This window comes from Homo sapiens, chromosome 11, assembly GCF_000001405.40.
Source record: "Homo sapiens chromosome 11, GRCh38.p14 Primary Assembly".
NCBI classification, from domain to species: Eukaryota; Metazoa; Chordata; class Mammalia; order Primates; family Hominidae; genus Homo; species Homo sapiens.
The window spans coordinates 119,683,288-119,708,523 of NC_000011.10; the positions used below are offsets into that span (position 1 = coordinate 119,683,288).

The 25,236-nt window shown below is 54.8% G+C and overlaps 1 protein-coding gene across 3 annotated transcripts in view, besides 7 other annotated features; it reads right to left on the minus strand.

Annotated features, from left to right (window-relative positions):
- Positions 1-25,236, minus strand: part of NECTIN1 (nectin cell adhesion molecule 1) — a 91,103-nt gene that overhangs the window by 45,190 nt on the left and 20,677 nt on the right. The window lies entirely within an intron of this gene.
- Positions 6,236-6,736: an enhancer, noted in NCBI's record as "H3K4me1 hESC enhancer chr11:119560233-119560733 (GRCh37/hg19 assembly coordinates)". NCBI's record gives its function as "activates a minimal SCP1, AML or CMV promoter by ChIP-STARR-seq in primed H9 embryonic stem cells {active_cell/tissue: H9 hESC(primed)}" and the evidence as "EXISTENCE:reporter gene assay evidence [ECO:0000049][PMID:30033119]".
- Positions 8,398-9,123: an enhancer, noted in NCBI's record as "H3K27ac-H3K4me1 hESC enhancer chr11:119562395-119563120 (GRCh37/hg19 assembly coordinates)". NCBI's record gives its function as "activates a minimal SCP1, AML or CMV promoter by ChIP-STARR-seq in naive and primed H9 embryonic stem cells {active_cell/tissue: H9 hESC(naive and primed)}" and the evidence as "EXISTENCE:reporter gene assay evidence [ECO:0000049][PMID:30033119]".
- Positions 9,124-9,850: an enhancer, noted in NCBI's record as "H3K27ac-H3K4me1 hESC enhancer chr11:119563121-119563847 (GRCh37/hg19 assembly coordinates)". NCBI's record gives its function as "activates a minimal SCP1, AML or CMV promoter by ChIP-STARR-seq in naive and primed H9 embryonic stem cells {active_cell/tissue: H9 hESC(naive and primed)}" and the evidence as "EXISTENCE:reporter gene assay evidence [ECO:0000049][PMID:30033119]".
- Positions 10,588-11,137: an enhancer, noted in NCBI's record as "H3K4me1 hESC enhancer chr11:119564585-119565134 (GRCh37/hg19 assembly coordinates)". NCBI's record gives its function as "activates a minimal SCP1, AML or CMV promoter by ChIP-STARR-seq in naive H9 embryonic stem cells {active_cell/tissue: H9 hESC(naive)}" and the evidence as "EXISTENCE:reporter gene assay evidence [ECO:0000049][PMID:30033119]".
- Positions 11,138-11,685: an enhancer, noted in NCBI's record as "H3K4me1 hESC enhancer chr11:119565135-119565682 (GRCh37/hg19 assembly coordinates)". NCBI's record gives its function as "activates a minimal SCP1, AML or CMV promoter by ChIP-STARR-seq in naive H9 embryonic stem cells {active_cell/tissue: H9 hESC(naive)}" and the evidence as "EXISTENCE:reporter gene assay evidence [ECO:0000049][PMID:30033119]".
- Positions 11,200-11,289: a silencer, noted in NCBI's record as "silent region_3982". NCBI's record gives its function as "represses an Ori minimal core promoter by ATAC-STARR-seq in GM12878 lymphoblastoid cells {active_cell/tissue: GM12878}" and the evidence as "EXISTENCE:reporter gene assay evidence [ECO:0000049][PMID:35858748]".
- Positions 12,974-13,599: an enhancer, noted in NCBI's record as "H3K4me1 hESC enhancer chr11:119566971-119567596 (GRCh37/hg19 assembly coordinates)". NCBI's record gives its function as "activates a minimal SCP1, AML or CMV promoter by ChIP-STARR-seq in naive and primed H9 embryonic stem cells {active_cell/tissue: H9 hESC(naive and primed)}" and the evidence as "EXISTENCE:reporter gene assay evidence [ECO:0000049][PMID:30033119]".

Consider the following 25,236-nt stretch of genomic DNA (forward strand, 5'->3'; position numbering starts at 1 on the left):
TTTACAATGACTGGAGGGATTAGGTCACCTGCTCAGGGACACAGAACAGCAGCACCCAGCCCAGTGCTTTCCCACCCTGCCACAAAAACAGACTCTGGCTCAACCTAACTCCCTGGGGCCTCTTTCTGGGTGGTGTCCCTCCTAGAATATAACCTCAGTGCCTCCATTGCCCCTTGTGAGAAATGGCACAAACACCAGCTACAATACTGGGGTGGCCATTGCATCTGCAGGTCACCTGACTGGGTGTCAGGTGATAGGTCAGAAACAGGGGCTTTGGGGATCCCGGGTGTGTGTGTGTGTGTGTGTGTGTGTGTGTGTGTGTGGGCACTTGCAGGAGGCTGCTATGTGCTGAGCAATAAGAGCTAGAGAGGTGGGGAGTGAAGGGCAGAGGCATCCATAGAACCTGTGCCCTCAGCAGAGGGGCTCTTGCATCCCACAGATATCAAAAGAATCAGTCTTTTTTTTTTTCCTGAACTCAAGCACTGCCTATATTCTCCCTGACCACCCTATGAGCTCCAGGATCTGGGACCCATGCCCCTGGGGCTTGTTCTCAAGTGCCTCAGTTTCCCCACTAGATCTCAGGTTGGGCAGTTCAGGCTGCCTCACTTCCCAGAAGTGCTGAGCCAGCATGACGGGCCTCAGGCCGGCCCCCTGAGACGTCACAGACCTGCAAACGCCTGAGCTCAGCAACAAAACACAAAGACTCCTCAGTTGTGGCGGACAAACCTGCTCCCCAAGGCCCTGCCTGCCATGGAGCTCATCCGCAAGCCAGTGCCACAGGTTCCCACGCAGCGGGGTGTGGCACACTTCGCTCCCCACATACCCACTTAAAGCAGTTTCTCTTCCTGCCCTTTTAACCCCCAGACCCCTCTTCCTAGCCAAGCAGGCTGGAACTGGGCTCAGGGGTAGGTGAAAGTGGGTACCTAGGTGAGGCGAGGGGGATTTGGGGCTTCCTGGCATAAACCACTTCTTTTGTCCTGGCTGTGCCAGCCCACCCCAGCCCCTCCTTTCCTGAGACTCTGCCTGGGGGCCTTGAAGTGGCTGGGCAGGGGCAGCCAACTTGGCCTGGAGTAAAGTGGCGGCACATTGCAGAGAGGGAGTGGGTCTGTGTGCACGTGTGTGTCTGAGGTGGGTGCTGGGCTCCGCCATAAGGGCCTCTGTGAAATCGATATCCTTCGGGATGCATTTCTAGGGCTTTCCAGGGATGCTCCCACCCCCACCCCAGGAACTGGCAGAAGGGGACAGGATGTCCGGTGAGAAACCGGCTAAGTGGTAAGTGGGAGTGACTCACCCACTGGGAGGGGCAGGGCCTCCATCTGAAACCCTGCTGAGGCAGCACAGTGACCTAAAGGTTATAGGCCCCCTCCTCCCAGTGCAGCCGCTTCCCTGATTGTCAACTCCCAGGGCTGGCCAACTCCATACCTTCTGAAGCCAAGGCCAGCTCCGCCTGGGAGAGAGGCCGGTGTGGAGGAGCGTGCAATCAGGACACCCACTTCCTTTCTGGGGTCCCCTCCTTTCACAGGTTTTGCCAATCAGTGTCACCTAGACTCCGATCATTCTGTCAGCAAAACCCAGAGGGGCAGGGCTCTCACTGAGCTTGTCCTGTCTCATTTCCCCATTAGTCCAGGAGATTCACGGGTGCCCAGGCTGCCCCCTCCTGCCTCCAGACTCCCCTCTACACTCAGGATGGGGAGGAGGGCTCAGCAAGGAAGCAGAAGTAGACCCAGCAGACCCAGTTCTTGTCCTGGTGCTCCAGCCACCTTTCCCTGGGGCTGCGCACAGTCTGGACTTGAGTCCGGCCTGGCCTTGCACTGCTGTTAGTCTGGCATCTCTGTCTCCCCTGCTGCCTGCAGTGCAGAGACTTTGGCTGGTGGGAGGTGCTGATAACATCCCATGAGCCCACAGTCAGGGGCTAATTGCTACCATCCAAGTCAGTGCCTCCGCCCCTCCTTTGGGGTCACAAAAACTGCTGATGTTTTCCTCTTGCCTGATGACCCCCCAACTCCCCACATGGAGCTGTTTAATGATGGGCTGTGGAGCTGGCGCCCGGCGCCTTGGGCGGGTGAGCACAGTGCGTGGGAGAGGAGGGGGCACGGCGGCCTGGGAAAAGCCCCGAGAAGGAGGCAGCGCAGGAGCCCAGGATCTTCCAGACAGGCCAGGCTGGCCCTGCTCTGCTGCCCCGGCGTGGCAGCAGTGATGGGGGTGCTCTGGCAAGTCCCACCTCCCTCCAGCAGGACAGGCTGGGGTCAGAGATGAGTCAGGGAGCTGAGTTTTGCCTTCTCCCACCAGGTGGCTGAGGACACCTGGATTCTGTCCTGCAGGCCTGTTTCATGCTGGCTGCCCCATCCACATGGCCCATCATGGGGCCAGTCCTGAGCCAGCCTCTGACTCCATCGTGGCACCCCAGGAACACAGAGCCTCTCTCTTGGCCCTGCCTGCCTCTAGCCTTCAAGACATCACCTCTTGGATCACTCTCCTGTACCTGCCACCTTTGCTCTGCTCACCTGGACACTGAGAGAGGCGAGCTCTGGTCCCCACTACTTGCTCATTGTTTTTCTGTATGGCCTTGGATAGGGTGGTTTCCTTTGCTGTAAAATGGGGAATATTGGCTCTGATGACCTTGGGGGACTGCACTTTGGACATGACCTGTCCAGCTCACTCTGACCCAGCTGTGCCTTTGCCTTGGATCAACTTCTGGGGACCTATCTACCAAGTGGCTGCTCTGTCTCTCTACACTGCCCAGCTCTTCCAGGAAGACCTCCCAGGTTAAGTGGGATGCCAGGAAAATCCAGGCCACAGCATGGCAAAGCTGGAGCACACAGGGACTCTCCTACAGTCAAGTAATCACCAAGTCTTACTGATGCCAGCTCCTAAACAGCTTTTGAATTCCTCTTGATTTTCCAGCCCCGCTGGTCCTGATTCAAACTTCCTAAGCCCTCTCTCACTAGTGCACACCTCCCTCCACCTCACCTCCGGCAGTCTCCCTTTCTTATTTTCTCAATATTCCCGGGCTGGGACTTTGCACTAGCTCTTTCCTTTGAACCTTAGCACCTGCCATCTCTTGCCTCCCTCCATTTCCCCAAGCCTTGCCCCTTGTCCAGGCCAACATCATCCCTTCCCTAGTCCACTGCTGCATCACGCTAAGTCTACAGTCTCCTGCCTCCAGCTCCACCCTGAAACTCCTTCACTCAGCTGCCAGAGGGATCTCTGTAAGATGCAAATCACTTACTACTTCAGACCCTCCCATGGTATCCTGCAGCCCTCAGGATGAAGTTTTTCCGGGCTCTAGACCCTATCTTGGGCATCCCCAACCTCCAGCCACTTCCTCTCCCAACTCTTCTCTCTCTTCCTTGCCACACTTAACAATCCGGTCGGTTGAGGTTGCTGCCTCGGCGAAAACCGCACCACTCCCCCGTTACCTGCGCAAGTCCTTTTCATTCTTCCCGGAATCACCTTAGAGTTGACTTTCAAGGGGGAGGCTTCCCGGAGCCCTCCTCTTCCCACCTTCATGGATTGCGTGTTCCTGCACCCCCAGGGTCCCAGTATCTCGGCGCACACCTGTCCTAGCGTTTCTCATACGGAGTTTGGAAAAGGCCAGGACTTGAATGAACCCAGTGCCTGGCACATGGGAAACACAGGGGGCCCAAGTGGCAGGTGGAAAAGGCTGTGAGCAGCTGGGGGCCTGAGCCAGGGTTAGCCATTTCTCAGGTCTGACTGCAGCTTCCTGGAAACTGCATATTATCCAAAAGGCAGAAATGGAAAGTGAGGCCTCACACCTGCATGGAAGGGAAGCAGGTCAGGGTCCGAATCTTCTCCTTCCTTGACTGAAAGCAGGAAGCCACATCCCAACAGGGGGAAGGTTGGCCCGATCCCTCGCCCACCTCCAACCCCACGACTTCTGCTTGCTTCCCCGAGACATTTCTCAATTGCTTTCCTCTCTCCTCTGCCCCAGTTCCCAGCACCTAGGCCCTCTTCCTTCCTCACGCCAGACCATAAGGTGACAAACATTTTTCTCACCCAAGCAAACTCCATCCCTGAGGCCCTGCTCTGGAGATCTTAGCCTTGTTTGTGTCTGCACTCCCCGGTTCATCGCCCCTCCCACCACCGCTGGGGCTTCTGCTGTCCCAGCCTTTCATGGTCTGGCCAACCTGGAACCCCCTGGCTCTGAGGCCAAGATTCAGGCAGGTCCCATTGTCTGCCGCTGATGCCAACCCTCTCCACCCCAGCTGCAGCAAACAACACTGTCTTGTAGCAGACACGGCAGCCTGGATTTCCCTCGGCAAGTGTGCATTTTTAATGACACATTTTGGGGAGTGTAGGCAGCAGCCTCTTTGGAAGGCTAGTGTGGGGGTGGGAGAGGCGGGGGGCTGCCGAGAAAGCAGAGGGAGAATTCCCCAGGCTTCCCCGGAGAATCTTTTAAAAGCTCAGTATTGACATCTGCATTGTCTCAGCCCCGCAGGCTTCAGGCTGATGTTCAACACCTGTTTGGAAGCAGAGGGTTCTCGATCTGCCTCATCCCAGGAGGGGCCTGTGGGGCCACCCCAGCGCCCAACCCTCCCGATGCCCTGTCCAGCTATGGGCAGCTGCCTGCTCGGATGGCCGGGGGGGTGAGTGGAAGGCAGTGGGGGAAGGTATACAATGCCTACCTGCAGGGAACACTCATTCTAATAGGGATGGGGTGGGAGTTCTAGGGGTTGTGTAGAAGGCCTGACAGATGAGAGATTAAGAGGAACATGGCAGCGGGGGGAGGGGTAGAAAGTAATCTATGAGCGCTGACTTTGAATTCAGATAGACCTGGGTTTGTGTCTGCTGCTTTTTAGCTGGTTGACTTCGAGAAAGGTGCATTAATCTCTCCATGCCTCAGTTTCCTCATGTATAAAATGGGGCCAGTAATAGTACTATCTCCTAGGGCTGATTTGAGGATCCAATGAAATAATTCAGTTTTGCTCTTGGCGTAGTGCTTGGCCCATAGCTATGCTATACAAGCAGTTGTATTATTTGCTAGGAGAAAGAACCTACCTAGAAATCACGTGCTCTGGTTCCCTGATTCCCATCCCGGCTCTAAGCCCACCCTGTGATCCTGAGCAGACCCCTGCAGTGATGAGGCTACTCCCCCAGGGCACGAATGAACTCCGCACCAATGACATTTTGGAGGGGGGGACTGTCCTGTTGTGGGGGGCTGTCCTGTGTGTTGCAGAAGTTTAGCAAGATCCCTGGCCTCTACCCAAGTGCACCCCCTCCATTTGTGATGACAAAATAACCACAGACATTGCTGCATCTCCCATGGCAGGCAAAATCATCCCCGGGTAAGACCACTGGCCTAGAGGAAGGGAGTAAAGCTCAGGCAGGGATGGTGGAGCTCACGAGGGACATGCAGGGCTGGCTGTGGCAAGCTGGTGCAGAGAGGAGTGGGAAACATAGTTGGGGGGCACTCTGGTGGGGAACTGTCCTTGTTTGTCCAGGGACAGAGGGTCCAGAAGTGGCTGGGAACAGGGCTGGAGAGTCTGGGCTCTGTAGGAGGGGCAGTGAGTTGTGTTTGGGGGAGACAGGTAGAGAGAACAGGGTCCTCTGGGGAGCTGGCTGTCAGAATATGGGTTATAGAGTGGCATGTGTGTCCTCAGAGGATGCAAGAGGGTGGGTAGGGGCAGCGAGGGGAGGGACACAGGGGACATGCGGTGGGGTGTTGTGAGCACCTTTAGACAGGGAGGGGAGGGAGGCTGCCAAGGTAGGGGCTGCGCTAGGTTTCTAAGAGCTGAAACAAAGTCAGGCAGCGTCTTCCTTCGGCTGGTAAACTGCTATCATTTTGGAAGGATTTTCACCTCATTTGGTTTCTGCTTAAGTGAAATCCACAACATGTGTTCTGTGCATTAGTGGAGTGTTTGTGCTTAATTAGTGGCAAATTCTTTCATATTAAAGTCATTAAGTTTTGCCGTTTGCGCTCCTCACCCTGGGCCTGGTTCTCCTGGCTTTTCTTTGAACATAGGAGGGCCTGATTGCAGACTTGCAGGTGGTTCCAGCCTCGCAGCCTCAGGAGCAGCACACACATGTGCACACGCACCTTCCCTGTGGCATTCAGACCCTACAGCATCAGCCCTTGAGCCCGTCCCACCCAGGGCTGGCATCTGGCACTCCCAGCACTTCCATCCATGCCCCAGGCACCTCCTGCTCCTAGGCAAGGCTTTGGAGTCAGAATTCTGCCTGCCCAGAGGCACTCTGCTGTGGGAGGGAGCTGCAAAGTGAGGGACTATCGGTTCAGGCTTCAGGGTGTGGGTGGGGCCCTGCTGCTGAAGGGGCAATGAGGAGAAGGCAACCTGACTGTTCAGAAGTTCTGAATGTGCCCCGCACATTCCAAACAGGCAGCAGGGCTAGGAGCTCCGTGCGCACTGCCAGAGCAGCAGGTGGGGGCCACTGGAGCAACATTGGGATGGAGGGCTCTCGACCCCATCCCCTCGAGAAGGTCTTGGTCTCACCAATCCCCACCGCAATGACCCCTGAAATAATACTTTGTAGCCACAGCACAGTGGTGACCTTGAACTCTTGGACAGCGAGTGGGGATCAGTGACCAGGGCCCCAGAGCAATCTCTTCCCTCCACCTGCTTCCAAAGCAGCTTGAGAAGAAGAAGGTATCTGCATAGGCACCAAACCTGCTATTTCATTTCTGGGCAGAACTCACTGGTCTGGACCCAATGAGCGATACTGCATTCAAATTGCACGTAACGTCTGGGTTAGACATAACATTCCCAGGTGGGGCTGGGCCTTCTGCTGAACCCTTCCCTGTATGGATGATACAAGAACTGCACCAGGCCTTGGCACAAGGTGCTCAGGGCCTCTTCTGTACCTGGACTTAGGCGGTGCCAGGAAAGGGAGCTGTGATGCTGGAGGAGACAGCCGGAGCTCCTTTCCTCGCAGCCCCTCCTTGGTGAAACGTCACCCTGCAGTGTCTCAGGTGGCACAACCATGGACTGAGACCCCAGCAGGCCAGCCTCTCTTTCCATGTCTCCTGGCTCAGGGCTGTCTCCATCCAACAACAACAAAAAAAATAAATAAATAAAAAATAAAGGCTTCCTTGCTTCCTTGCCACCCTATGAGCTCTGCTCCTGGATCACAGACCTCCGAGCTGGGGGGTGGCAGTCTTTATCCGATGTGCTTCAATGACCAGGGGCTGGGGCCAGAAAAAAAAGGGGATGGGAAACGGAACTAGCAAAGGCTTAAAGTTGAGTTTTCTCTTGACTTCTTCAGCTAGTGTGGCCTCAGGAGCCCCCACCAAAGGGTCTCCAGCAGCGCTGCCGGAGGTAGGCCAGGAGGGCAGGTCCCCCAGGCACCAGCAGATCAGGGCCTCAGGACTGCTGGGGTAAGAGGCAAAACCCCGGCCCTGTGTTCCCTTGGCTGATGAGAGAACCCAAACCCCACAGAGGGGAGACCAGCCCGTGCCCAGATGTTCAGGCTTATGTCTGAGTAGCATCTGGGTGGGGCCTGGGGTGGGGAGGGTCCCACATCACAGGATGCCACAGAGGTGGGGGAACTCGGGGACAGGGGCAGGGACTCTGAGTGGCCCTTCCATCACTGCAGAAGCCACTCACTTTTCACGCCGCCCCCCACCTCAACCTACCTTCCGGCTCAACTACCACCCCAACCCCGATTCTCTCCCCTGGCCAATGGTCCTGTGAAAATGGGCAGTTATCCTCCAAACATAAGCAATGGCCTTTTGTTCAACTAGTGCTGAGCCTCCCAAACTCATCCACCCTTTCTCAGGACACAGCCTGAGCTGGAATACCCCAACTCAATGTGCTTGCCCCAGTGTTAACCACCAAAAGCATTCTCCCCAACCACTCACAGAAACCCCAAGAGTAGCCCCCGCCCAGGTCTCAACATCAGTGCCAACCTAGACCACAACACAAACCCGGGTCATGACCCCAACTCTAGTGTTAACCTCTTCCTGGTTTAACCACAGAACGAAGCAAACTCCACGCATGGCCCTCAGTGCAGCAGCAGGCCTGAACTCAGCTCCTCTGGAGCTCCAGGTCTAAACCCAGCCCCAGCTTGGGGTCACCCTGGAGGGCAGGCAGCCACAGTTCACAGTTTTCTTTCCACCTGAGAGTCCCCCATCCTGAGGTGGGCGGGGAAAGTGGGATCTTCAAAAGGTTGTGACATGGGGTTTTGGGGAGAGGCCAGCTGAGCTGAAGGCTGCTCTGCGGGTGGTCTGCCTGCAGGGGGCACGGTGCTGCCCACTCTCTGCCTTGCTCTTGCCCCGCTACAGCAGGGCCTGTGGACACATCCAGGTCCCTGGGCTTTCCCTTTCCCCAGTGCCCAGAAGGCTGAAAGGGGCGGTGGGAAGGCAGAGGCTTCCTTGTTTTTCCTGGTGCTAATGTCAGCCTTGGCACTTAACTAGCAGTAGGACCTATGAACAAGTCTCATAACTTTCCCGAAACCCAGCCTTTTCACCTGTAAATGGGCCGGAGCACATCCACCTCATTTGGTTGGAGGGAGAGCTCCTGTATAAAATGACCTCCCCAGTCCCAGGAGTTTTCTGGGAGCCCTCCTGCCTGGCCTGCCCTGCTCCCAGCTCCCGGCTGTCATCCTCCCTTCCTCCCTCTTTCTCAGCAGCACTGAAATCATCACTTGGCAAAATGCTGAGGGGAGCACATCCCTCCTCTGCCGCGGCCTGTCTTCTTCCTGCCCCGCCGGGCAGGGGCATGTGGGGTGAGGGGCCTGAGAGGGAGAAGGTAGAAGCCCTGAGCCTGGCCGCATGTCCCCAGCCCCACCTGCTCCCTCCCAGCATCCCCAGTGGTGTCAGAGTTTCGAGAGTGGGGTCTTTCCCATGCTTCCCCGCCCGACCATCCCTCTGCCCAACACGAATCTATCAGGAGCCTCGCCCAGCCCCGCTTCCAGCTCAGACTTGTCGGGGTTTCAGGAGTCACTGGGTAGGGGTTGGCGTGCCAGGGCCTGCTCCGCACACTGCCTCACGGAGGAACCAGCACGTAGGCTCGGGGCTCGCGCCCAGCTGCGGATGCAGCTCAGCCTCGGTGGCCACCTGCTTCCCTTCCCTTCCCTCCTTCCATTCCCATGCTCTCTTGGCTCTGTGCAGAGGGGCCCCTGAAAGCCGAGAAGTGGCTTGTGGCAGTGATGTGTGTGTGTGTGTGTGTGGGTGGCGGGGGTGGGAAGTGGACCCCATGTTTGCCACCTGCCTCCTTTCGGCCACCCCAAGGTTGGGCCCATGCCCTTAGCAGCAGCAGAAGCTGGGGCTCAAGTGCTCCCCTCCTTCCCTCCCTGGGGGAGAAAGTACAAAAGGGTCAGGTTCCCTGCCAGGCCCCTCCCAAAGGATGGCAAGAACAGTTAACACATGTGCACTGCTGATCTGTGCCAGGCCTGGGGCTGGATATTTACATACATTAATTCACTTAATCCTTACAACACTCCAGGAGCGAGATTGTCCCCATCTTAGAGATGAGGAAACTCAGGGAGGTCAAGTCACCTGCCCACGGTCACACAGTCTGCAAGACTGATTCTGATCAGGGCAGTCTGTCTCCACAGGTGACGTTCTTCACCACACTCATAGCTCCACGGCCTCCCTCTCTCCCCTTCCTGGGGAAAAGAGCGGCCAGCACCCTCTGAACCAGACCTGGGTGAGCAGCCCCTGCCTGCTGGCAGTGCTGGCCTGAGGCTGACGATGGGGCTGCTGGGAGTGCCTTGTAGAGAGGGCAGGCACCATCCTCCCACCCCTGCCACTCCTCCTTCGTTCTGCGGGAGGCTGAGCTGACACCTCCACCTCCCCCAGGACTACAGGGGCTAGCAACCCCGGCAGCCCAGCACAAGGATATGACTGAAGACTCCAGACATGAAAAGCCCCCATTCTTCCCCTGTTCCTCTTGCCTCCTCGTCCCAGAGCTCAGAGACTTGACTTCCAGTCCAAACCCTGCCACTCTCGGGGTGTGTGTCTCTCTCTCTCTGCCCCTCAGCTCCTCCACCTGTGAAACCTGGAGGTGGCACCTGCACCCTTTGCCTCCTGGAGCTGTGGGGTGGTGAGGACCAAGTGAAAAAGGAATGCTGAGCACCTCTGAAAACTAAAGGGTGAATGACAGCTGCACGCATCAAGCACCTGTGATGTCATCCATTTACATGTAAAATCTCATTTAATCTTCACAACTACCCCGAGTGGGGAGTCCCCTCAGCCTCGGGCCAAGAGAGGAGAGTGACTGCCAAGCTCTGTCCTTTCCCAAGGCCCAGGAGTGGAAGGTGCTGTTATTCTTTTCCTCGTTTTTCACTCAGCCCCTCCCACTCTGGGCCATGACCACCATGAAGCCCAGGAAGTGGCAGCAGGTGCTCATGAAGAGTCAGCAGAGGCTCCTCACACCCCTCCCTGAGTTGGGGCACTGGGGTCCTGGGAGGCCCAGCTCAGCCTCCAAAACACGCAGGGGGCTCCAACACACCTCTAATGTTGGACGGTGAAGCCGGGCTTCCCCAGCAGAGGCTACTGGGATAGCACACCAAATTAGCTTAATGAGTGAGGCCCAGCTTTAGTAGGGGCCCTCCATGTTGCAGCGCTGACTCCTGCTTTCATTTTTAATGCTGGGAAAGGGTGGGTTTTCTTTTTCTCTCTCCCCCGTGCATTTTCACCCTAGCTAATGACTCCTCACTCAGAAAGGCCCCTACCACTGCTAATTAGATTTAATTACTGGGGTAATTAATGATTTGATTGGAAAACTAAAATATTGTGGGTGAATTTTGTGTATAAACAGGAAAGTCAAAGGGACAGGGAACTCAGGCTGAGACCAGTCTGGGGCAGAAGGAAAGACCAGGCTGAGCATTGGTCAGCTAGCAGCTCTGAGACAGGGACTGTCTGCTCTTGACTCCCCATTCACAGAGGGGGAAATGGAGGGGCAGAGAAGGAGAGCTCTTCCAAGATTGCCAAGCAGTTAGTGGGAATCAGGGGAAGCAGGAGCTGGCAGGGTCGGACCCAGGGAGAAGAGGGGTGGGAAGGAGTGATCTGAGCCTGGATGGCTTGGCTCCGTGGCTCGGCTGGCTCAGCAGTGTGATCATGGCCCAGGAGCACCTGGGCAAGAATCATCAACTGAACACTAGCCCATAGAAATGTACTGTGGTGGTTTCTCTTGTGGTTACAAAGACCCTGCCTCTGGGTCACCAGATAAGCAAATAGCTCAAGCCAGGAGGCAGCCAGTTGTGGCGAGAAGGAGCAGTTGGTGGTAGGCAGGCAGTTGGGAGGCCTGGGTCCCCTGGAAGCTCACTACCTCTCATTGCAGAAGGTTCCTGACCTTCTATCTATTTCCTGCTTGGCTCACAGCCGCCTGCCTTGGCCTGAAGTGATGTGGGCTGAAGAGGGCAGTGTGGGCAACACGTTTGCTCTTTGAACTTGATGGTGACACACCAGTTTTGTATTACTCTGGGGAGGGGAACCCTGGAGGAAGAAATAGGGGAGAGAAGGGGATGGGGATGCTGATTTGGCCCATGGTCCACTCCAGGGCAGGCCCTCAATGATACCCCTGTGCTGAGGGCCTGAACCCAGGTGTCCTGCTGCCCCCCCAGGCATCTTGCCCTCCATGTGCACTGAACTCCTCTCTCCAGCTGCTCCTTCAGCCCTACCCCTCCCAGGGCCCAACCACAGTTGCATCAATATAGCCCCTTGACTCTCCTTCTGAAGGTCTAGAATACAGCCATTCAGCTCCCTCGGCTCCCTGCAACTCCACAGGGAGGTGAGGCTCCTACTGTCTCTTATCTGGAATCACAGTACTGAAAATATCACACCTTTACTGAGCACCCACTGTCTAATGGGTATTACGTTAGGTAATCCGTCTCCCCAGTATGCTGAGAAACTGAGGCTCAGGCTCGGGAAGTGATCTGTCCAAGCCACACTGCTAATAAGTGGATTTAAATACAAATCAGATCTTGTTACACAAGTCCCCGGTCGCTCTCCACTGCCTTGGGGTAAATCTAAACTACTTATCAGGCCTTCACAATCTGTCCCTGCCCATATTCCCATCTCCCTCTCCCACCCCTCCCAGGTCCCCACCCTCCCCACCAGTCCCCGCTGCCAGTGGAAAACTCCTACCCACCCTTCAACACTCAGGTCCCACACTGGCATCAGCTCTGACCTCAGGTTCCCACAGCACCTGGCTCCTTGCTCAAACAGCTCTCCCTGGCACACAGTGTTGGCTGTGCCATGAAGACAGACGTGCTCACCCCCGACGTCCCAGCACACAGCCTGACACCCGGCACGCAGTAGGCCCTGGATCCAGGTCTGCTGGATGAACTGAGAGCCAGAGTCAAATCCCAGAGAACCAACTCAGGGATGGGGGTGCCTGGTGGCTTCTCAGGTCACTGCGATCTTTTAATCAAGACTTCTTAGGAAGCTGAGTGATCAAAGAAGGACCAGAATCCCTGGTGAGGGCCATGCTTATTTACCAAAATGAGATTCTCTGTAAGAGAAAGGCTGATGGGCTGCATATGTGGGGGCCGCATTCAATTCATGCCTCCAGTGGGAAGTGGGAGCACCCCCCTTTGCTCCCCAGGTTGGTTTGCAAGTGCTGATCCCATCACGCTCCTCCAGCCCCCTTTACCAGGAGGGTCCTGGATCCTGGAATAATCAAGAGGAAGGTGCTACCTATTTTGTAGATGTTGAAATTAAGACCCAGAAAAGTGAGGTGTCTTACATGAGGTTATATAATAAACTAATTGAAAAGCCAAAAAGAATCCAAGTCTCTTGACCCTTCTTCTACACTCTTGGTGCCAAAGGGGTGAGGAAGAGGCAACAAGGCACAGCCTTACAGTCCTGGTGGGTGAAGGTGTCTGGGTAAGTCTATACATATATTTTAATTTTTAAATTTTTGGTAGAGTTGGGGGTCTTGCCTAGGTTGGTCTTGAACTCCTGGCCTAAAGTGATTACCACCTGCCTCAGCTTCCCAAAGTGTTAGGATTACAGGCGTGAGCCACTGAACCCAGCCCAAAGGTAAAAGTCTGTCTTTGGAGGGCAGGTTGGTGTCCCCCGCACAGTGCTCAGCGACTCAGGCTGCCTAGAGTAAGGTGAGGATGGGCAGCACCCTACCCCCAGCTAGACTTCAGCATCGAAGAGCAGAGTGGGCCTCTTGTCAGTGCAATCAGGAGGTGTTCTGGAGTTCAACCCCGCCCGCCCCCTGGGGTGGGGTTGGAGGAGGGAGGGAAGCTGAAGAAGCAGGTCAAAGCAAATCCTCCCCAGCTGCCCCACCCCCACTGAGAGCGGGCAGAGCCTGAGCCTGTAGGACCAGAATCAGGTGCCCTGTCCTGACATGTCCCAGAGACACAGCTTGAGTGGGAAATGAGGGAGGTGAGTCAGGGCTGGGTGTTGGGGGCAAGAGAAAGGGGCAGGAGGTCTGTCCCATTTCTGAGGACACAGGGACCAGGGCTGGCAGGAACCAGGAAAGGGTGGGTTCCCCAGGGTGGGAATTGCACAGGGTTGGCTCAGTGGGTCTTTGGCCCAAGGCCTCCACCTCTCCTGGGTTACAGGCTCAGGCAGGCCCCGGAAAGCAGGACTGCAGGCGGCATAGGGGCGGATGGGGCGAGGCTGGAAGGCATCTTGCCACATTGTCTAGGGAAGAACCAATGCTGAGGCCTGAGAATAGTGAGATAGCCGCGCGATGTCACCTGCACAATGCACTAAGATCAACAGGAGACCTGGCAGGGGAGGAGGGAGGGCATCCTGTCTCTCCAGCCCCCTCCCCGCCTCCTATGAGGCCTGCCCACTCTGTGTGCTGCCCGCTGCAGCGGGCAGAGGCCGGGCCTGGGAGGGGCAGCCTGCGAGCAGCTCAGGGAAAGGCCCTCTCACCCACAATAGATGTGGGGGGCGGGGAGGTCGAGGTGAGGATTAGGGCGGGGAGACGCTTTGAACCCCAGAAAGACTGGTGGGAACTGGTTCTTGACTCACAGCCGAGAGAGGGGGGTAGGGAAATGCAAGGGCTTGCGCTTTATTATTTTTTCTTTTATGAGATGTGAACTCAAGCAATTAAAAAAATATGCATTTTATTTTTTGCACAATTGGCCCTGCTGTGTCTCTTCATCTCTGCTCCAGCCCTGGTCCCATCAGCACGGTTGGCATTTCACAGCAACTTTTCATCTTCAAAGTGATTAGACAGATTATGTGCCCAAGTTTTTATAAGGCTCAGCCCCTCTCCTTCGTAGGCTCCCGCAACCCTAAAAATAAATACTGGTGGTCAGTATCTGTGCTTCCTGCTTCCCAGAATTCTGGCAGCAAGTTATTTTATTTCCACCACTATTGGCTGAATACCTTCTATCTACCAGGCACTCAGAATCTCCTATTTTTCACTTCCATCTTCTGGAGCAAGGACTGATAGTCCCATTTTACAGAGGGAGAAACTGAGGCCCAGTGGTTGAGAAATTTGCCAAGTTGTGTAGCTAAAGGGTGGTGGATCCAGAACCCGAACCTGAGTCTTCTGGTTGTGGTCCACTGTGCTCCCTTTCAGACTGACACTGCCCCTTGGTTTTCTGTCTCCTCAACTGGAACCCTCTCTTAAGACCAGATTCCAGCTTTCTAGGCAGGCAGTGCCTAATCACTGGTGTGCACATTATAAGTTCTCAACAAATTCTGAAGAGTGATTTCCCCAGAGGACAGGCAGGATGGGCTGCAGAGGCTGAAGCCCTCGGTGTCCTGCCCAGCCTGAGTCTTCTCCCAGCTCCTTACCAGGGACAGGGAAGGGGAAAAGAAAGAGCAAAAACCGGGGTTTTGGCATGGCAGAGCTCTCAATGTGGATCCAACTAGTGCCCAGACAGGTAGCTGGGGACCACACCTGCCCAGGCCCAGGCCCTGCCCTGCCTGACATGCTGCCCCAGGCACTAGTTGGCAAAGGCTCCCAAGTGGACTTGGACAAGAAAGTTCTTGGAAAAGCAATTCCCATGCTGGACCCTTTTGGCAAGGTGGCAGCAGACAGAGGTCATACCCCACCAGAGTTGGGGGCCTGAGCCTCTAGACTTTCCCAGCTGAAGGGTGCTGTCATAACTACCCCCGACACTGGCAAGGTTTTACTCCACAAAACCCCACCCAGGTGATTAAATTGTCTCTTCCCCTTCTTTCACGGTCTTCAGCATATGAGATTCTACCATTTCCCCCTGGGAAACTGCTAAAGTGTTCTATACCCCTGAGTAGTGGAGAAGTTCTTCCTGATATCTACCCTCAATTCCTCTTATTATAAGGGAAGCACAATCTGTCCCATGGTGTGCTTGGGCATGTGGGATCAGGTACCAGGGCTGGGGATCAGGTAGTTCCTCCCCATAAGGAGAGAGCAGTGGAGAGTAGAGAGGGAGTTCGCATGGTGGACAGACCTGGGGCTGGGCTCTTCCACTCATTGGCAAGTTGCCTTACCCTGTGAGCCTCAGTTTCCTCATCTGTAACATGAAACCCCAGTTTCTAATACTTTATCACAAAATGGCTATAAGGATTCAGTAAAATAACGTATGTACATGGTTAGCCAAGTGCCTGACACAGAATAATTGCTCTGGAGGTGGCGAAACTGATATGTGGGTACCCTAGGATCATGGACAGGGCTGCAAGCTGAGACCATTCCTCAGGGTCAGAGCAAGACCCTTTCTAGCATCCCAAAGTGGGCTCCAGGCCCTCCCCAAAGGCCACAGCTGCTCCCATTTGTGTGGATTCTCTAAGCTGCCCTGTGCCAGCCTGCAGAAAAATGGGCAGCCTCAAAGCTCCACAATGGGTGTCAGACAGCTCAATTGTTTCCTCGAAAATCAGCATCCTCACTCTGGCCTGTGGTGCCTGCCCTGGTCCTGGAGTCCTATGTTTTTCAGGTAGGGGCCCAGGAGAGCTCTGCAAAGAGCTAGGATCATCATCTCTGCAGAGGATAAGGGGAAGTGCCATGTGTCTCTGCCAGCCGGCCCCCTGGTAGGTACCAGCACAGGCCTGTGTTTATACTGTGGCATGTGATGAGCCCTAAGGATGCAGGAAAACAAGGACCAGTGCTGGAGCTTTGACCTGAGCTGAGGGGACTTTTCCCAGTCTCCTCCCTGAGTTCCTGGAGTCTAAGAGTTCCGACTGTCCTCAAGGGAACTCTGGGACTCTTTCCCACGGCCCCCGGCCAGCAGACGCCAACTAGCCCAGCTCCTCCCTCTCTCTGCGTCCTTCTCCCCAGGCCGGCCACACCCAGCTCTGTCAATGCCCAGCCCCGAGTCCTGGAGAGCAGAGGCCCCTGTCCCCAGCGGCCCGCCCCACCCCTGCAACTCTGGCCCCTCTGGCGGGCAGGCACGGCTGGGCCTCGAGGCCTGGCTGGAGTCACAGGATGACTGGAGGGCCCGTTCCATCTATGCCTGCTCCCTCATCACACACAAACATGCAAGGGAGAGTGGCAGGAGTCTGGGGTAGGGCCTTTTGAAAGACGCTCAGGTGCATTCCCTGGAGTGCTCATGAAGTCCTCAGCCTTCCAAGGCAGGTGTTAGGAGACAGCTGAAGACATCGAGACTAAGTGGCATTCGGGGTTGCCAAGGTCACGGTTAGTGGCAGAGCCAGGATTCAAAGCCAGGTCTCCTGACTCCAAGTGTAGTGTGTACCCCACCAGCTCACCCTTTCTCTCCAAGGCCTCAGAAGATGGGGCTGCTTTCCAGGTCTAGCTCTGTGGAAAAATCACAACCTCTCTGGGTCTCTGTTCCCCCTCTTAAAGTGGGAACCACCACCACCCCAGCCCCTGAGGTGTGGGGAGACCATCAGATGAAACAAACTGTGGAGCCGGAACTGTGTTACTGGAGAAAAGGCACTGTAGCGACAACCGTGTTCATGATTCGAGGCCCTGAAACAGGACTCTATGTCTCCTGCTGGGGTGAGGGCCCGCCTGAGGGTTTTGCCAGGAGGCCTGGGGGAGAATCTGCCCTTGTGGTCACTGAGGCAGGGAGGGGGTGTGGTGTGACCTAGCACTGGATGCTGACCTTTGGTCTGACACCATTGGCATACACCCCACCTCCCCTGGAAGGTTGCCCGTTCTTGGCTCTGAGAGTCCCTAATGGGACAAATTCATTTAGTTACAATGTCATTTGTCAAGTGCGGACACCTAGTTCGTGAAAGGGGCCTGGCTTGGGAGTCAGGAGATCCAGGTACTAATACCATTGCTGCCAAGAGCCAGTGAACTGTGTGGCTTTCTCTTTCCAAGCCTCAGTTTCCTCATTTAAAACACAGGAAGGCTGCTCGGTTGATCCTTCCTTCAGGTTCCATCTGGCTTGGCCAGTCTGGGGGTCTCTGCTCTGCAGCCACCCTCCAACAGGCTGCCGGTGTGGAAGGCAACAAGCTCTCAGGCCTGGGGGTGGGACGGTGGGTGGGGAGTGTTCACTTCCACATTCCCAGGGTCCTGTAGCTCAGCGGAAATGAAACCTCTAGGATGTGATCGCAGCATGGCGGGATATGAAACAGAATGGATTTTGCAACCCTTCAAGGTGTTGTATGCAAGGCGTGGCTCTGTCAAGGGCCTCTTGCGCCTGTTGAGAGGTGCTTCTTAGAGTTGGTGACTCTCTGAAACCAGGGCTGGGCCCCTTTCTGGGATGGGGGGTATATGAGAAAAGGCATCAACTCTGCGAAACAAATCCAGGCTCTTGCCCAAGTCAAAGAGCAGCCCACAGTAGCACTGGAGCTTCTGTGGCTTGGGGTGGCTCCTGGGCTGAGACCTTGAACTTACACCCAGGAAGTGAGGCATCTGTTAGTAAGTGAGACTCCCAGCCGTGAGTCAGGTCTCTGCAGTGGGGCAGATGTGGGGGTACGGGTGTGTGCTCAGGAGGGGAGGCTGGGGAGCAGGGTGCTTGCTCAGCTAAGCACTGATCCTGCTACTGCCAGCCATTCGCTGTGTGGCCTTGTAACGTATGTAACTGCTCTGTGCCTCAGCTGTGTCATCTGTGAAATGGGAACACCAATTATTGCTTGTTATAGCTCTTGGGATTATTGCTAGGGTCAAACCAAAGTGACCTCATGAGTATGAAAGAACTCAGAACCTTCCAGAGCTTTACTGAAGTTCTGTCTCTCAAAATAATGAGAGCTGACTTTTCTCTGAGCAGTGCTTGTCGCAGGCCATCCTCCCACCAACTCTGAATGAGGTGGGCACTGACTCTGTTTCATTGAAGTGACACAAACACAGAGAGGTAAAATGCCAAGGGGTGTCTGGGGCTCAGAACCCTAGGCAAGTGGACAAAATGCATTGTGGGGGCCCTCTCAGCTTGCAGTCCCTAGAACGGGACCACAGACCCCCTTTGAGTGACACCTCTTCTGTCCTTCTCTGCTCTGGGGTTGGTATTGTGGGGAGAGGCCAGGGCTGGGATTCCAAAGCCCAAACCTGGCCTCTCCCAGACTCTTCCCTTCCTCCTGGCTCTAGGGGGCATCTGGAGAGGAGACAAACCTAGGGGAGATGTTAATTAGTTCTGACAAATTAATAAAGAAAGCCTAATTTATTCTCCAGGTCTCATTTCCTTCCCGGTGCTTTATTTTCCTGCCCAACAAGCTGCTGCTAGGGAAATGGAGGGGAAAGGTGGTGGGGGGTGGTCATTCTCAAGACAGGGGCAGCCCAAATCCACCTGCCTCCGCCTCACTGGCTCCCGCCCCGTCCCTGTCCCTCCACTGCTCCAGGAAGCCAGCCCCAGACATTAAGCTGTCAAACCACTCCCAATTATCTCCCTCTATGCCCGCCGGCTCCAGGGGCGACAGTTGTAGCAAGCTGACGTTGACTCATTCTGTCACCGGCCTGCCCTGCTCTGGGAAAATGCAATTTAATGAAGTCCGATGGCAGGGCTGGGGCAGACAGGGTCCCAGGAAGAGGGTGGCACCAGCCTGGGGACAGCTGACAGTGCCCTCTTCCTGTGGGACAGTGTTTTTGATCTGTGTGATGTGATCTCATCTCTAGACACTGGAGGGGTCATCCTGGACCTCCCCCTGCCCCACTCACCTCTCCAGCAGCTCTGAGCAACCAAGGCATTAACCTTTCCCACCAGGGCCTCCACCTCCCTCGGCTGCCTGTTTTAATAGCGTATGGTCATGACAGCTGGGAAATTCGTCCTGTGGTTTCATCTCAATCCCTTCTGCTGAAGAGCAAGTCCATTTCCCTAAGCCTTTTGATACAGAGCCTGGGAGTGGGTCAGCCACCGCCAGATGCCATCAAGGCGAGTCCAGGGCTGTGGCTGAGGCCATCTGTGTACTGCTAGGCTAACTCTGCTGCTGGGAAGAAGCAGATTGTTCCTTCTGCTTCTGGTTGGGCCTAGCCTGGCCCTTCCACTTGCCCCCTTCTAGTCCTACCTCACCAGGGGCATTTGCTGAAGATCCCCGTTCTCTCAGTTATACAGCAGAGAAGCCTCTGACTCCAGGCTCCTGGGTTCAAATCCCAGCTCTGCCACTTGCAAGCTCTGTGACTTTTTTTTCTCGTCTATAAAAATGGAGAGAGAATAATCACTCCCTCAAAGGCTGTAGGGAAGATTAAATAAAGCTCTATAAGCAAAGCCCTGAGAGCTGACCCTGGCATATGATGGCTCAGTAGATGGTAGCTTTTGGCGCTGTGGCCCCCACACCTTTGGCAGATGCAGGGCCTTCCCAGGGTCTCTTCCTCTTTTTTTCCTCTTTCTCCATGGCCCATTCATTCTTCGTGCCTTGAGTAACATCTCTTACCCTGGGAGGCAGCCCTGTCCCCCAGTATGGGTTAAACCCCCCTTGCTCTATGTTCCCACCAGGCTCAGGCCTTTGCCACACTTAAAAAGCATATTCAGTGTCTGGCCCCCACCAGCCTGTGAGCTCCATGAGAACATGCATGGCACCTGTTTTGCTCAAAGCTGATGCCCAGCACTTCCCAGGGCCTGCACATGGGAGGTGATCAACAATTAAGAGGTAACTGACACACGGCATGACCAGGAGACCAAGGTGCCTCAAAGCTTCCCCAGCTCCAGTGGGAGGGGTTGGGACCCACGTGGGTTTGAGAAATGCTCCTGGCAGAGGATCTGACCACGAGTTTCTTCTGCCTGGCCCCACTCTGTGTCCCACGTGCTGGAGGCCCAAGTAGTCAGGAAGGGCCTTCATGCTGGCACCAACGGGACAGATAAATGTCTTTCAGCAAGGGGCAGTCAGGCATCTCCAGAGCTCAGAGGCTGGCTGGCCCTCAGAAGTCACAATACCACGCTGTCTTGTACCCTTCTTGGTGTTTGCCTTGGACTTGTCCAAGTGGTAGGATTATAGTAGCTGGTCCCACACAGATCCCCTGTGTACCCAGGATGGGCCAGGAGACTCCAAGAGCTCCCCAGGAGCAACAAGCCCAACCTACTTGCTGTACAGATAAGGAAATTGAGGCCAGGGAATGCCTGAGGTGACCCGACCCACAAGTGGCTGAGGCAGGACTCCCAACAACGAGGCTGACGCTCTTTCATGAAAGCACACCTGGCCCATGTTAGCAAAGAACCTCCTGTCTGCCTCGTACCCTGAATTTCCATCAACCTGGATTATTGGTAAAGTCCTCTGCCACCCACACTCTTCATGAGATCCCAAAAGGATTGATCATGGAAAATGCAAGGTAGCTTATTGCTAGAGTAATGAGATGCGCGGCTCAGCCTGTTCAGCCTGTCACCTCCACTGCATCCAGGATGCCGGGCTCGGAACTGGCACACAGGTGCTCAGGAATGGCGCTCACAGGGAGAGAGTGGCCTTTATCATGCCCATCCTTTCACACTCGGAGTACGTGTTAGTGTGCCTTTTTGCCACCTCTTCTCCAAGACAATGGTTCCTCCTGGCAAATCTCCCCAGCTTTACCCAGGAACACGGTTCTCCGGGCAAGAAGCTGCCTCAAAAGGCTCACCCAAGGTCACACAGCTGGGTGCACCCCTCACGCCCCACCATCATTTTCCTGCACACGAACCTGCGGGCAGGGGCTGTCTGCTTCCTCCTTCTGGGTCTACATCCAGGACCACCCCAGTGTTTCCTTTTTTTTTTGTATCTGAGACGGAGTCTCACTCTGTCGCCCAGGCTGGAGGGCAGTGGTGCAATCTCGGCTCACTGCAACCTCCACCTCCCAGGCGGGCAATTCTCATGCCTCAGCCTCCCAAGTAGCTGGGATTATAGGCACCCACCATCACGCCCAGCTAATTTTTATATTTTTAGTAGAAATAGGGTTCATGTTGGCCAGGCTGGTCTAGAACTCCTGACCTCAAGTGATCCACCCGCCTCGGCCTCCCAAAGTGCTGGGATTACAGGTATGAGCCACTGCACGCAGTCCACCCCCGTGTTTCTTGAAATGGAGAGCCCAGAGCTGGAGGGAAGGGCTTCCCAGAAAGAGGCTGTGGATTTCAGCCCCTTGCCTGAGGGTAGGAAGAGGTCCACTGGGTGCTCCCAGCTTCTACCGCCCCATCTGTAACTTGGTTTTCTAAGTGTTGGCAGGGCTCAGAATGAGTCTCCATCTCCTCCGTGGGGTATGAAGCAGGCCTTGGTGGAGGTGAGAATGCCCCACTCCACCCCGGGAGGCTCTCTCCGGGCAGGTGAGCAGATGCAGAAAAAGGGCTGAGAGCTCAGCCATGACTGCGCACGCCAGGGAGGGGGGACCAGGTGTCCTGGGACCTTGGGCAGCAAGGGGACAGCTCTAGCTAAGATCTGGTTTGAGTCCTGGCCCTGCCACTTACATGTGGTGTTATTTTCAAGTAAATTAGTCATTAACCTCTGAACTTTCTTTTCTTAAATGTAAACCAGGGTGATAGTCCTGACCTCAGAGAGTGCTAAGAAGATAAGGTGAGAGAACTGTGTAGATGCCATAAAGCTCTGCAGGATGATAAGGCTCTACGGGAGGCCAGCCCACATCACAGGCCAGGGTGGAACCATAAGGGAGATGCAGTGTGTGCTGGCCAGGCAGGGCTCGAGATTAGGCCTTCATGAGCAGGAATTTCAGGGAGACTTCATGTGATTGCATGCAGAAACAGGGTGTGCAGGCAGAGGAGGCAGCAGCTGTCCATTAGGGTATTCATTTATTAAAATATTCCTGCTGTCATTCAGTACCTATTAGGTCCCAGGCATACAGCACTGGACAAAGCAGAAAACATTCTCTGTCTTCATGGAACTTATGTTCTAGCAATGGCAACCAGACAAGAAAGAAGATAAAATGTGTGTAGGATTAATTAATTTTAGATCAAAGATGCCCAGAGAAGATCTCACTGAGAAAGGAGACATTTGAGCAAAGAAAAAAACAAGGTGAGCAAGCCAACCATGTGGCCACCTGGGAGGAGATATTCCAGGCAGAGGCAGCAGACAGCAGGTGCAAAGGCCCCGTGGCGGGAGAGCGTCTGGTAACTGTGGCCGGTGTAGCTAGACGGAGGAGACTGATGCAGGGGCCAGGCCTCTCCCCTGAGCTGGACCATGCTGTTGGAGGCCACGAGCAGAGGGATGAGATCTGTGACCCGGCTTTGTTTCAACAAGACCACTGACAACTGCTGAGAATGAACAGGAGGGAGCGCAGGCCGGGAGACTGGTGGAGGCGACTGCAATCATCTGGGGCATCTTGGCGGCCCCTGCAGAGCTGGGGAGGGAGCCCCAAGGCCAGAGGCGGGGCAGGGGCTGCATCAAGGTCTACGGAGCCCTCCTCTCCCACCCCTCCAGGTGAGACAGCTGGCAGCCCACTCCTTCTCCCTGCAGACAAGCTGTCTTCCCATCCTGGGCCTGAGAGGGAGGCGGGGAGGGGCGGGGCAGGGGTGAAGAAGAAGCCCTGCACAAAACAATGGCCTTGAGCCAAGACAAGAGAGATGCTTGTTCCCCTTTATTTATGATTGTTATTGGGAGAAATAAAGCCCTCAGCTGCAGCCTCCCCTCGGCCGCCAGCCAGGCCCTCGCTCCTCTCTTCTTCCACCTTCCCCTTCCGTCCCCACCTCTTCCCTGGGCACAGGCTTTCCTCTGACACACAGAGATCAAATAACTTCTCACTCAAAGGGAAAGATATGATCTCCTTTTACTATTCAGCACCAACACCAGCGGACCGACAGCCCAAGATTAAAGGCAATTAGACAGGTTTGTTTTTGTAGGGGCAGAAGGTCTGTTTGGCACCCTCCTTGGGAACTGGATCCCACAGTGGGGAGGGCCAGTGGCTCCTGTGACTCCCAGTGGAGAAAGCTTTGGGCCCACCCCAACTCACCCCCCAGCGCCAGGAAGGACCCATTTTCCTTTGCTCTGAGAACTGCTGGTTGCCTAGGAAGAGGGAGGGACCTTCTAGCCAGGCACCACTGTATCTTCTCTCTGCACGCATTGCACCCTTGGAGTAAGGGTGGAAGCTAAATTTGTGTTTCCCCCTAGAAAATATAGTATTGATTGCTTTCAAGTCGATTTCAAATAAACGGCATGATATTGCCCCCACCAGGGCTTCTAATCGCTTGGAAATGTCATCAAAGACAACAGCACAAAAGAGGGCAGGGGCCTTGGTGATTCCTTCAAACTGGAGACCCTGGGCCTCTGCTTCCTTCCTTGTCACCTTGTCCTAACAGCACACAGGAGAATAAATGCTGGAACAGCCTTTTCGGAGCATTTGTATATACTCTTATTTAATCCTCGTGAACTCCCTCTGGGTTTATATCATTATCCCACTTTTGTCCTCAGTGGGTCAGTATTCACGGAAGAAACTGAGGACCAGAGTGTTGGTGTAGGGCATCCAAGGGCACAAAGCTAGTATGTGGCAGGGAACCCAAATCTGCCCCTGTCCCTCAATTCTCCCTCCCCCTGGAGCTGGGTGAGGAAGGAGAGGGGTTAGAATCTATCATTTGCCTTCTGGTAGCTTCCATCTGGCAAGGGAAGTAGGCCCACTACTGCCCCTGCTGGCTTGGGTGGACAGGGAAAGGCCGTTTCATCCTTAAGTGACCCTTGAAGGACAGGGAGGTTTTCATCAGACACAGGTGTAAGGGCCACCACCCTCGCCTTGTCCTAAAGCTCTCTGTGTGACCAGGCTGCTGCTCACTCCACCAGCCCAACCTCACCACTGACCTCTCTCCCCACCCCACACTGGGCTCCACTCCTGGGTCTTTTAGGCACTGGCTCTCACTTGCCTTGGGGCCTTTGCACAAGCGGTTCTGTCTGCTGGGATCACCCTACCCTGTACCCACCACTCCCCTTTTCTTGCTAAAGGTCACCTCCACCTTCTCTTTTATGGCCGTTCCCCATTCCCCTCCCATCCCTGCCAAACCTTCCACCCCATCTCTCATGCTAGTGACCACCATGACACTCCACAAGGCTGTCGAACAGGGTGAACAACACCTCCCCACCGTCTCCCCACTCCAACTGCCCATGTAGGCAGTTCCTAGGTCCAGTCATACCCCACCTTGTCCCTGCTATGCCAAGTTGCAGAATCCTCTCCTTCCTCCAGGTTCCTCTATAGGGTTGCCTCTCTCAGACTAATGTACTGTCTCTGGTTCTTCCCCTTGCTTTTATTTTTTTGGATTTTTAATTGATATATCATAGTTGTACATATTTTGGGGGTACATGAGCTTCCAGCCCTGATTTGATAATTATACATTGTAGGCAGGTATCAAAATATCAAATCAGGGCTGGGCTATCCATCACCTCGACACTCTTCTACCCCTGCTTTAATTCACAAAGCATTACTACACCTATACAATGTGTCAAGCATGGTGCTGGCACCTTTTGGGTGAAAGTGACAGTGGTAGTGGCAAGAGGAAGGAGCGTGGAGGAATAAGAAAGACTAAGACATTTTCTTTTACCTTAAAAGCTCTGTCTAGCAGGGGCCCCAGACATGAAAACAAATAATGACTGAGTGATAAACGCAGTTTTTGTTTGTTTCTGAAAAATACAAACCCAAAGCAATGGGAGCTCAGAAGGGGGAGTGATTCTGTCTGAAGGTGACGGAGGCGCCACAGAAGATGTGAGATTTTTTAGCTGGGTCCTGCAGGATAAGCAGGAGTCCTTGAGACAGACAGAGATAGAGACAGAGACAGAGACAGACAGAGAGAGGGAAGGGAACAGGAGGGGAAGAGGAAAAGAGGAAAGAGTGTCTTTAAAAGCTTGGATGTGGCGAAAGCACTGGATATGTGGGGCAGAGGAGAGGGGAATACAGGGTGAATGGAAAGCAAGGTAGGAGCCAGTTGTAAAAGGGCTTTGTATTAGATGAGGGTCTGAACTTCACCTTGTAGGCAACTGGGAGCCACTGACGCCTTTTAAGCAAAGTGGTGACATGGTCACATCTGTGCTTTGGAAAGAGGCACATGGAATGCTAAGTAGAAGATGTCAGTCACAAAAGG